Genomic DNA, 10,859 nt, shown 5'->3' on the forward strand with positions numbered 1-10,859 from the left:
GGCCTCGGGCCCAAGCAGCCTCCTCTGCTTCCTTCTTGGGTGTCCTGGCCTGGGGCATGTTGTCCCCAAAACAGGACAACGTTAGTCCTGTCGCCCTCAGGGAGGGTATGTGAGACCCTGCCTAGAAAGGCGGCACACAACACCTGGTGCAGAGGCACAAGGACAGTGTCTGTGACAACAGAAACACTGTCTCTGCCCACAAGGGGCACATTCAGGGACACGAGACCCACGTGCCCGAGGCTCCATCCTCACTCATGGCCTGGGACACACGGGTGCCACTCTCTTAAGTGACACTGCCAGTGAGCCCATGGCCCATGGGACCAGAATTCTGCTGGGGACTCCAAAATTCCTACAGAGGGTTGGAGGGCTCAGGCAGGGCACTCCAAAGAGACATGTGAGCTGAGGCTGAGGGGAGAGGGCGAGTCAGATCGGAGGGAGAAAGGGCATGGGGCCGAGAAAACAACGGCAAGGGCCCCTGGCTGCAAGCTCCAGCCAGAGAGGTGGGCAGTGCGGCCCAGGAGGAAACATGGCCGGAGAAGGAGGGGACAGGTCTCAAAGGGCTGGGCCTTCAGAAAGAAAGCGGGCTGTATCCCACTCACAGCAGGAAGCTACCAAAAGGTGTGCATGACAGTGACATGCACACAAGTCCTTTTGGAAATTTCATGCTGGCTAGTATTGGGGAGGGCACAGGATGGTGGTGGCTCCAGGGGGTGATGGTAACGATGGAGATGCGAGGGGTCCCAAGGACAGAAGACCTGCCATGCTGTGGGGGTGGGGTGCTGACAGGACCTGCCATGCTGTGGGGTATTGTGGGGTGGGGCTGACAGGACCTGCTATGCTGTGGGGGGAGGGGCTGACAGGACCTGCCATGCTGTTGGCGGGTGGAGCTGATAGGACCTACCATGCTGTTGGGCAGTGGGGCGCTGACAGGACCTGCCATGCTGTGGGGTGGGGTTGACAGGACCTGCCATGGTGTGGGGGACACTGACAGGATTTACCATACTGTTGGGGCGGGGGTGCTGACAGGACCTGCCATTGCTGTGGGATGGGGCTGACAGGACCTGCCATGCTCTTGGGGGCAGTTGACAGGCCCTGCCATGTTGTCAGTGGGGGTTAACAGGATCTGCCATGCTGTGGGGGGTTGGGCTGACAGGACCTGCCATGCTGTGAGGGAGCGCTGACAGGACCTGCCATGCTGGGGGAGCTGAGAGGACCTGCTCTGCTCAGGAGGGGGAAGGGGGAGAAGACAGAGAGAGGAGGGTAGAGGTAGTGGTGGTGGGGGATGAAGTCCAGGCATGAGTGAGGAGGAGGCTGGGTTAGTGCAGGAAGCTGTAAGTAGACATGGAAGGGAAGAGAGGTTCTGGGGTAGAATCAGAATCAAAGAACCTCAGAAAGTTCAGTGGAGAAGGATCCTGTGGTTTTCTATCTCCCGAAGTAAAATGAGAGGCCAGATTTTACCTCTAACCGCCATTCACTATAACCCATCCCTCTATAACCCCTGAAGCATTCCCTGGAGACCTCATGGGCTCATGGAACACACATTGAAAACCCTGCAGTGGGCCAGTGGGTGGCCTAGAGCCATGTCATGGGTTAGTGCTGGAGCAGGGCAGTTCCAGGACATTAGAGGCCAGCCCTGGGCCAGCTCCCCACCAGCTGAGGCTGAGTCCCACCAGCAGCATCCCTCACCTGAGAGCTGGCCTGAAGTCCTTTCTTCCTTTCCCCTGTCCCTGTTTCAGTGACCAGCTGCTCCTCCCTCCTCCTGGGCATGCTCCACTAAGGCAGGCATGCAAAGGCCAGTAGGGAGGCGGCCCCTGGACTTTCCCAGGCAGACAGCAGTCCCAGAAGAGCGTGCTGAAGGAGGGACAGACTGACTGCTGCGTCCTGGGTCACCCCCACCCAACTCAGCCCACCTCCCAAAGCTGGAGCCCCTCTCAATGTCTCAGCCATCAGGGCCCAAGAGCTGGGGCAGCTTCTCGAAGCTCAAAGCTGGCAGGGGCAATGCCAGGCTTTGCTGGCACCAGAGGGACCCTGTGGGTGTAGCACTGACTTCCCCCGAAGCCAGCCGCTGTGTCCACGCAGCCTGAGGACCCAAGGGGACCTTCTGGCTGTCCCAGCAGGAATCCCCACATGAGTACTCTTGAGCCAGGTGCCCAGCCAGCCTGGAGATCACCCAAGATCCTCAAAGGTTACAGAGGGAGTTCTGCCTCCTCACTTCCTGGTCCTGCACCCTCCCTGGAGCACCCCAGGAGACTGCCCCCATACTAGCCTTGGGAACATGGGCAGGTTGGAGACCAGCCAGGAATGAGCTCATCCCCTCTGGGGGCTGCCTCCTCATGGCAGGCCCTTCCCCGTGAGGGAGAGATGGGGGTCTTCCAGTTTTCTGGCTCTGCGTGGCTATCCAAGACCACAGTCCTGGGGGGCCTGGGAAGCCCAGGGTCCTTCAACCTTGGGCCAGGCCATGGGACCATTCCCCAGGGCAGAGCCAGAGTAAGTGCAGGCAGGAAAGTAGGGGTCACTTTTAGAAATGGGACCTATCTGCAGGTGTGGCTCCCTGTCCTGGGAGGAGAGGACAGTTACATTTTTTTCTTCCATCTATGCAATACTTAAAGGCCAAGAGGGCATTTGAAGCAGACCTCCCATGTTCACTCCAAGTCACACAGATGGCCTACACTCCCTCATTCATGTCTCTGCTCCCTACTTAGGAGGGGCTGCAGCCAGGGTAGGGGACCCTCACCCATCTCCCAGTGGGCTCTGGGCACTCACCTTTGAGGTCAGGCACAGCCACCCCTCCCTCTGGGCTTCAGGGAAGTTTGGGCCGGGTAGGCATAGGGTGCCTCCTGCTGGCACTCAGGGCCAAGGCACGGAGTCCCTTCTTGGGACTGTGGCCACGCTGAGGGGGCTGTCATGCCATGAGTCAGCCAGCTGTCAGGGACCTGGCCCCCAATTCTTCCCTCCTGCCCTCCCCACAGCCTGCTTCACACTGGACAGGTGCCCCGACTGGCTGGCCTGGGTGTCCTCAGGGGCCACAGCAGGTACCAGTGGCCGCAGCCCCTGGAGGGATGTCATTAAAGCCAGATCAGCCACAATCCCTGGCTCTCACAATCCCAGCCCTGCCGCTGACAACCCTGACGATAAGTGCACCCCAAAGAGGAAATGGGGCCCAGAAGCAAAGCTCTGTGCCATCAGTTCAGCTCTCAGACCTCTATGGGCCCTGCCACGACCTGATGGGCTCCATTCCTGATCAGGAGCTGCACTGGGCATCAGTCGCATGCCCATGGGGTGGGCAGGGGTGCTCAGCACCTCCAGGGAGCCCTGACTATGCAAGGCCTCCCCACGTCAGATGTGCTTTTGCCCCTCTGCTTGGAGTCCTAGTTCTGCCCCACGTGTGCCCAGAACAATCAGTGTCTCCACCCTCAGGCCAAGAGCCTGTGACCTTGGGTTGGAGCCTGGCCCTGGTGCAGGCCTGCGGATCTCCTTCCACCTGGCTCTCAGCCTCCAGCTACAGGGAGTCCCCAGATCTGACCCAGGGGGCCGAGACCCCAAAGAAGAGGCCTCTGTGTCCCAACCTTGCTGTGAGGCATGGTCCACTGTTGGAGGGGCTGCAGCCACTGGATGGCTTCTCATCGCCAGCCCTCCCCCGAGGGCGCAATGAGACTGCTCCACTGTGACTCCCATGGTCCCCGAGTCCCTGTGGAAAGAGCCCCAGAGGGAAAGGCGGGGTGGAACTGGGCTCCCAGCCCCCCTACCTGCCAGGGACATGACCGAGGCCCCTGGGCACCCCACTTTCACCTTGGGAAGGAGGCAGCATGGCCTGTGCAGTTGCCCCTCCTAATCCACAAACGTGTGGCCTTTCCTGCTGAATATGATGGTGACTGTCAGCAGTTGGTCTCAGCAGGATCATCGTGCCAATTAAGATGGAAATGCCACCCTGTGGGGGCTCCCCCCTCTGCCAGGGAGCTGAAGTGGAGGGAGTATGTTTATACCCAAATGCAAAGATACTGCCCAGCACAGACTTCTGTCCCAGGGGGCCGGAGAGGGATGTCATTAAGGCCAGATCAGCCACCACCCCTGGCTCTCCCTGCCGGGAATTCCCTGGACAGCAGGAGTAAGTGGCCCTTCCTTCCTTCTCTGCAAAAGCCCCAAGGTCACAGGCACCTCTGAAACATGCCCCACACTCCCCCTGCTTACCAGGCCTCATTTCAGGACCTCCTACCCGGACTACACTCCAGGCCCAGTGGCGAGACAGAGACACCTGCAGGGCTCCCGGATTGGGGGCGGTGAAAACCTGCACGGTGCACGCCCCAGCAGACCATAGTCCTCATGCCAGCTGGCCAGCAGCTGCACAGAGGCTGGTGGGAAGCAACTTCCTGACACAGTCACCCCTCCCCAGAAGTGCCCTGTGAGGCCAGGGAGGTGAGGACAGGCAACCCCTCCTCAGAAGTGCCCTGTGAGGGCTGAGGGAGAAGCACAGTCTCAGCTGGGCCTGGCCATGGAGACGGATCCCAGTGAACAATATTGATTGTTTGTGCAAAATGGCACCCCAGCCCCTCAGCCTGCTTGCTGCCAGGGCCCCTGGTGGAAGCTGACACAGACACAAAGGAGAGGAAGGGGCACAGTGCAGCAAAGCCGGAGGCAGAGCAGTGAGGCACAGCTGGGGGCCCCTGGGCCAGCACAGGCATCTGAGGCCCAGCCACAAGAACTGCAGTCCCATAGAGGAAGGGGAGGGTGTCGCCTCACTCCCAATCTGTGCAGCCCCTCAGAGCCCTGCACAGGGCCAACAGAGTCCGGGAGGGTCCCTGTGCCTGCAAGGGCTGCGGCCTAGGCCTCTGCAGAACAGGGGGAGGGGAGCGGCCGCACCCCTGTCTAGACGGCTCCTGCTGAGTACTAGCTCCTCACCTACCCGCCCTGGGTGCCACGGGCCCCAAGGCAGAGGGCATAAGCTCTGTGCAAACATCCTGCCTTCTCCCCAGGATATTTCCTTTAATAAAACACCATGGAAATGTCAGCTAGTCTAAACAAATAGCCAAGGTTTTCAGAGGACGAGCAGCCTGCATAGGAGAGCCTCCAGGGCCTGCTTTTCGGGGTGGCTTTGGGAAATTGTGTGCCAGAAAGGCAGTGGGAGCCCTTCCTGGTGGGGCGAGCACTGGGGGTTGTGGTGACTGAGCCCAAAGAGGCAGGGCCTGCGAGTTCCCCTGGGAGGAAGGGGCAGGCCCTGAGCCGGGTGCAGGGTGGCTGTCCAGGGTCCCTGAGGAGCCTGGGGCCTTCAGATGAGGGCTCCCTCCTGAGGACCCTCAGAAAGGGCCTGCCCCAGGGACACACGCAGAGGTGGGGGTGGGAGGCCTACAGCACATGCTTCTCAGGACACCCTCCTTCCCCTCCCACTGCAGGAGCCACTTCTGCAGCCCCATCCTCCTCCTTGTCCATAAGCTCCATGTTAGGGGAGGCCCCTGCTTGGGGAGGCCCCAGGTCGGCCGGGGGAGGTGAGAAGTCCAATAATGGGGTGAAACTTGCAACCCCGTGCCTGACAAAATGTGGCCCAGGCCCAGCGGTGGCAGGGTTGGGGTAGGGGTGAGATACGTGTTACAGCCCCCGGCAGCATCCAGGGCCTGCATCTGTGTGGGGGTCAAGTGTTCCCGTGATCCTACTGCCTGAGCAGCGGGCCGTGGCATCCCTGCTCTTCCTTGGCAGGGCAGACAGACCCAGCTCTATCCATGTGCAGGGCAACGTGGGCAGGGCCCAGACTGCCTCCCCAGCAAAGAAAGATTTTCAGGGTGTGGATCTCCATGTGGGTTCAGCCTCTGTGAATGGTGTGTCCGGGAAGGGGCCACACGTGCAAGAATTGCTGACCCTGCCTGGGCCAGTGCAGGAGAGTGAGGCTGGGCTTCCAGGCACTGGGCTCGGGCTGTGCCAGGTAGGCCAACGCTCCTCAGGAGGCCAGCAGATGCCTGCAGGGTGGCAGTGAGGGTGGTCCCAGCCCTTGGGGCCTCCATGCAGCCACCTGCATCTGTGGCCACGGGTGGAAAAGGTGAGCCCACAGCAGGTGGGATGGCCAAGGCTGAGCAGGTCCACAAGGAGCAGAGATGGAAGCCAGCAGCCAGCTCTGCACCAAGGCAGGGCCTCTGGGCACCGCCTGGGAAGAAGGGAGTGGGCTCTGGAGTCCTGTATGCTGTGCTAGAATCCCAGCTCCATTTCCTCGCCTGTGAACAGGGAAGTGGTTTCTAGCCAATGCGGTGTCAGAAGGAGAGAACAGGATGAGGTGCCTGGGCACGGCTCAGCACTGAGCACTCGGTCCCTCCCCAGTCCCTCTGACGAGGCACCCAGGCAGGCCCTCCCCTAGCAGAGGACACCATCCTTGGGCCTCTGGGTGGCAGATGGCATTTTCTCAAAATGCCCACAAGAGTATCTCCAATCCCACACATTCTCAGAACCTTGCTACTCTCCAGGAGCACACCTGTTTCCCCTTCCTTGGACCGGGTGCAGGGCAGAGGTGGTGGGTAGGGCCCGCAGAGGCCATGCAGAGTGAAATCAGAGACTGGGGCAGATAGGGCGACTCATTTCTGCCTGATTCCCTCTCTAGGGAGGTTCCCCTTGGAGCCTGGTCCCATGCTGTGAGGAAGCCCAGGTCCCTGGAAAGGCCACATGCAGGTGTCCCACCTGAGGGCCCAGCAGCAGCCTCCGCTGCCAGACCGAGCACCAGGAGCCCTCAGATGCCTCCAGCCAACCCAGCTGACACAAGTGGAGCAGAGACACACTGTCCCCACCACACCGGGCCCAATGTGCAGTTTGGGGAGCAGAATTAATATTGTCAGTGAAGCCACTGTGCTGCGGGGTGGTTTGTTAAGCAGCAGCATGACGGAGCATTGGTGCACTGGCTGAGTGACAACATGACTGCAGCGCCCCCATCTCTGTCAGACTCTAGCCAGGGGACGGGGCCCACTCAGAAAAGCCTGTTTCAGGAGACAGGACCTGGTGACCATTCTGTGCCTCCCATCCCGAGGCCCCAGACAAGGCTAGGCTTGGAATCCAGAATGCCTGGGCCCTCAGGACACAGTGCCCTGCCCCCCAGGAGCCAAGTGCTGAGACACGCACTGTTCAACGGCCTCATTCAGAGGATCATGCACCCGGGAACCCCACACAGTCAGGACTGGTGTTTTTCGTAGGAGGAATCTGAGGCTCCAGGATGGGCTGAGTCCCTTGTCTAATGCGCCCTGCTTGACCTTGGAAGAGACACGCTGGGGACTGATTTAAAGCCGCCACTCCATACGTTCTCCCTGCAGCTCCCATGCCAGCCACTGCCATCCCTGCTGCAGGAGCACAGCTCTCAGCCACAGACGCCCCCATCAATCAATATTTTTAATTACTTACATGATTGACTAATAAAATTCTCCACCAACTAATTGATTTTTTTGATCAGAGAGAGCCTTTGTTTTTATTAAAAGGCTACTTAGATGAATTTTTTTTTCACTTAAGTGGGAAGTTGTATTTCTTTTGGTCATTTTGGAAGAAGAAAAATAGGAGGGGGCTGGGACAAGGGAAGACCCCGAGGCCAAGAAGATTACAGGCCCAAACTGAGAGACCCATGATAATCATCAGAACCCCTTCACCATGTGCCCACCAAACACCCAGTGGCTCGGCTCTGGCCAGAGGAGCCCTGTGGCATGGGTGGGCAGACTGGGGACACATACCACCCAATCGCCAGCAGCTTCCATCATTTTTAAAGGTGAACTGTAAACTTTTCTCTGCATTTTAATAAAAGAATCGGGCTTGAAATTATAAAAGCAACTCATTCATTGTGTACAGTTTGGAAAAGAAAGGCAAATCTCATAAAACTATGAAAGTGGGCTTCCTGGCACGGGGCCCATGGTGCATGGGGCAGGTGACCTGAAGCTGTGAGAAGAAGCTGCAGGGTTGACTTCGGTTTCCCAGGGGCCCAAGGCCCCAAAGAGCCATGACCATAAAAACAATCTGGACAGCCACCCACCACCCAGAAAACTGCTCATGGGCTCACAGATCAGTGGGCTTTTTGTTGTTTTCCTTTTTCTTTTCCTTTTTATTTATTTATTTATTTTAGAGACGGGGCCTCACACTGTTGCCCAAGCGGCAGGCAGTGGTGCAATCATGGCTCACTGCAGCCTTGAACTCCTGGGCTTAAGCGATCCTCCCACCTCAGTCTCCTGATTAGGTGGTACTAAAGGTGTGTGCCACCACTCCCAACTAACTTTTAAATATTTCTGGAGAGACAAGGTCTCACTATGTGGCCCAGATTGGTCTCCAACTCCTGGCCTCAAACTGACCCTCCTGCCTCAGCCTCCCAAAGTGCTGGCCTCCCGTTTTCATTTTTCTTTTACCAGATTGGCATCTTACTGTAGATCAGGTGTGGCCATGTTCCTCCACTTGCAGTGACCTTTAAAGAGGTGTTTGTAAGTGGCTCCAGGGCAGCCCATCCTGGGACCTCTTCATGTGGCACACACTGAGGTTGTCTTCCCTGGGCAGCTGCTGGGCACAGGATGATGCTGGGCACAGGATGATTCTGGGCAGCTGGTAGGGCCAGGGAGCTTGGCAGCGACAATTAGGGTAAGGGATGGTGGGCATGTTTGGTGAAGGAGGGGCAGGGTACAGGGTCCCCACCACAGCCATGGGATGCTCCTTCTCTCCTGGCTGGAGGGTCTCAGCCAGGGGGACACAGTGGACAGGGGGTGTTGCCCCCAGCTCCACACTGGGCCTGCCACTGCCTCTGCCTGTTACTTCCACAGTCATGGTCACCCACTGATTTCACTGTGACCTCATCTCTTGTTGGCTGCTCCATGCCCTACGAGCAGAGCAGTACCCAGGATATGGTGGATGCTCTGAGACCAAGTTACAAATGCTTGCTGAGTAACCCTACAGAAATGAAGAACATTCTTACCGTGGCCTCCACATGGCCCTTCTGAGTGGGGCCCTGGGGCTGTGGGGAGGATGAGCCTGCTCCCTTAGGAGGGTCACTGCAGATGTGCAGAATGACAATGGAATGCAGAGGTGATGGGGGCAGAGCTGTCCCTGTGTCACAGCTCATCCACACAGACTGGGTGAGGGCTCTGTGCCTCATGCCAGCCCCATGCACAGAACTGAGTCCTCGAAGACAGAGGGACTGAGTGACTCCCCAGGCCACACAGCCTGTCTGGTTCTCCCCATGGGACGCTTCTCAGGCTCACCCGGAGCTTTCAAAACAGATTCCTTTGCCCGTGACCTGCTCTCAGCCTCATGTGAGGCCTCAGACCAGCAGGGTTGGAACAGAGCTAATGACATGGCAGGGAAACATGTGGATGGTTAGCGACATGAAGGCCCACCCAGCTGGCCCTAGAGTGTCTCGCCTGCCTGACAGCTCCAGTCTGTCACCCTGACTGGGCATGTCCAGAAGCCTGGCCCTCCGTCCTTGGTGATCTCATGCTGCGTGGCTTGCACCCGCTGGGAGCCGATGCCACCACGCCAATTGCTGCAAGCCTCTGAAAGGCACCTCGAGGTGTCCTGATCTGTCCCCAACATGCAACCTGCCCCTAGATGCCCTCCCCACCACAGCAGGAGGCAGTTTTGTCCTGCTCAATTGGAAACCCTGGGAGCTGAGTGACCCTGCCGTTTCCCCCGCCCACTGCCAGCCACATCCCTGCTGAGAAAACCAAGAAGGGAGTTGGAGCTTTGATCCTCACTAGCTGGTACTGATTCCCCCACCTGCAGCAGTGTCAGAGAAGACCACACAGAAAGCCAGAACTCCCATTCCCACCCAGCTGTAATGAGGAGTCCCCACCTGCACCTCAGGTGTCAGCAGAGGCTGAGTGAGAATCCCAAGCTTCTACTTCTACCTGGCAGTGAGAAGGTACTGCCTCCCTTTCCCTGACAGAGGCTGACAGAAAGTACCAGCTGAAACAGAGGCTTAAATAAGACCCAGAAGCCGGGCGTGGTGGCTCACGCCTGTGATCCCAGCAATTTAGGAGGCCAAGGCAAACGGATCACAAGGTCAGGAGTTTGAGACCAGCCTGGCCAATATGGTGAAACCCCATCTCTACTAAAAATACAAAAATTAGCCAGGCGTGGTGGCGCACGCCTATAGTCCCAGCTACTTGGGAGGCTGAGGCAGGAGAATCGCTTGAACCTGGGAGGCAGAGGTTGCAGTGAGCTGAGATCACATCACTGCACTCCAGCCTGGGCAACAGAGTGAGACTCTGTCTCAAAAGAAAAAAAAAAAGACCTAGGGTCTCATAACAAAATATGAGAATATCTAGGTTTCTAAAGAGAATTTCTAGTCATACCAAAACCCAGGGAATCTCAAACTAAATGAAACAGTCAATAAATGCTGACATCTACATGAAAGAGATGTTAGAATTACCTGACAAAGATCTTAAAGCAGTCATCAAAAAAGTGACTCAACAAGCAAATATGAACATGCTTGAAACAAATTGTAAAATAGAAAGTCTAGGCAAAGAAAGAGAAGATACAGTACAAAGAAGAACCAAAGGGGAATTTTAGAGTTGAAAATTACAGTAACAAAAATCAGTGGATGGGCTTAACAGAATGAGGACAAAGGGAAGAATCAGTGAATAGGAAAATGCATAGAAATCACCTGGTCAAATAACAGAGAGAAAAATAGACTGAAAAAAATAAAAGAGGAATCCAGGAGACTATAATACAAGACCTAACTTTCATGTCATTCAAGTCCCAGAGCAAAGGAGAAAGAGGATTGGCTGAAAAAATACTCGAAGACTGGAAACTCCTTGAATTTGGCAAGAGATGTAAGCCTGCAGGTTCAAGAAGCTTCATAAACCCCAAGCAGAATAAAACCAGACAAATCCATGCCAAAACACATCATAATTAAATTTCTGAAACAT

General features: G+C 56.9%; 4 annotated features.

The window, feature by feature from the left end:
- Nucleotides 296–1,016: an enhancer, noted in NCBI's record as "H3K4me1 hESC enhancer chr10:43535603-43536323 (GRCh37/hg19 assembly coordinates)". NCBI's record gives its function as "activates a minimal SCP1, AML or CMV promoter by ChIP-STARR-seq in primed H9 embryonic stem cells {active_cell/tissue: H9 hESC(primed)}" and the evidence as "EXISTENCE:reporter gene assay evidence [ECO:0000049][PMID:30033119]".
- Nucleotides 4,492–5,383: an enhancer, noted in NCBI's record as "H3K4me1 hESC enhancer chr10:43539799-43540690 (GRCh37/hg19 assembly coordinates)". NCBI's record gives its function as "activates a minimal SCP1, AML or CMV promoter by ChIP-STARR-seq in naive H9 embryonic stem cells {active_cell/tissue: H9 hESC(naive)}" and the evidence as "EXISTENCE:reporter gene assay evidence [ECO:0000049][PMID:30033119]".
- Nucleotides 5,384–6,275: an enhancer, noted in NCBI's record as "H3K4me1 hESC enhancer chr10:43540691-43541582 (GRCh37/hg19 assembly coordinates)". NCBI's record gives its function as "activates a minimal SCP1, AML or CMV promoter by ChIP-STARR-seq in primed H9 embryonic stem cells {active_cell/tissue: H9 hESC(primed)}" and the evidence as "EXISTENCE:reporter gene assay evidence [ECO:0000049][PMID:30033119]".
- Nucleotides 8,883–9,413: an enhancer, noted in NCBI's record as "H3K4me1 hESC enhancer chr10:43544190-43544720 (GRCh37/hg19 assembly coordinates)". NCBI's record gives its function as "activates a minimal SCP1, AML or CMV promoter by ChIP-STARR-seq in primed H9 embryonic stem cells {active_cell/tissue: H9 hESC(primed)}" and the evidence as "EXISTENCE:reporter gene assay evidence [ECO:0000049][PMID:30033119]".

The sequence above is a fragment of the Homo sapiens genome, chromosome 10, assembly GCF_000001405.40.
Source record: "Homo sapiens chromosome 10, GRCh38.p14 Primary Assembly".
NCBI classification, from domain to species: domain Eukaryota; kingdom Metazoa; phylum Chordata; class Mammalia; order Primates; family Hominidae; genus Homo; species Homo sapiens.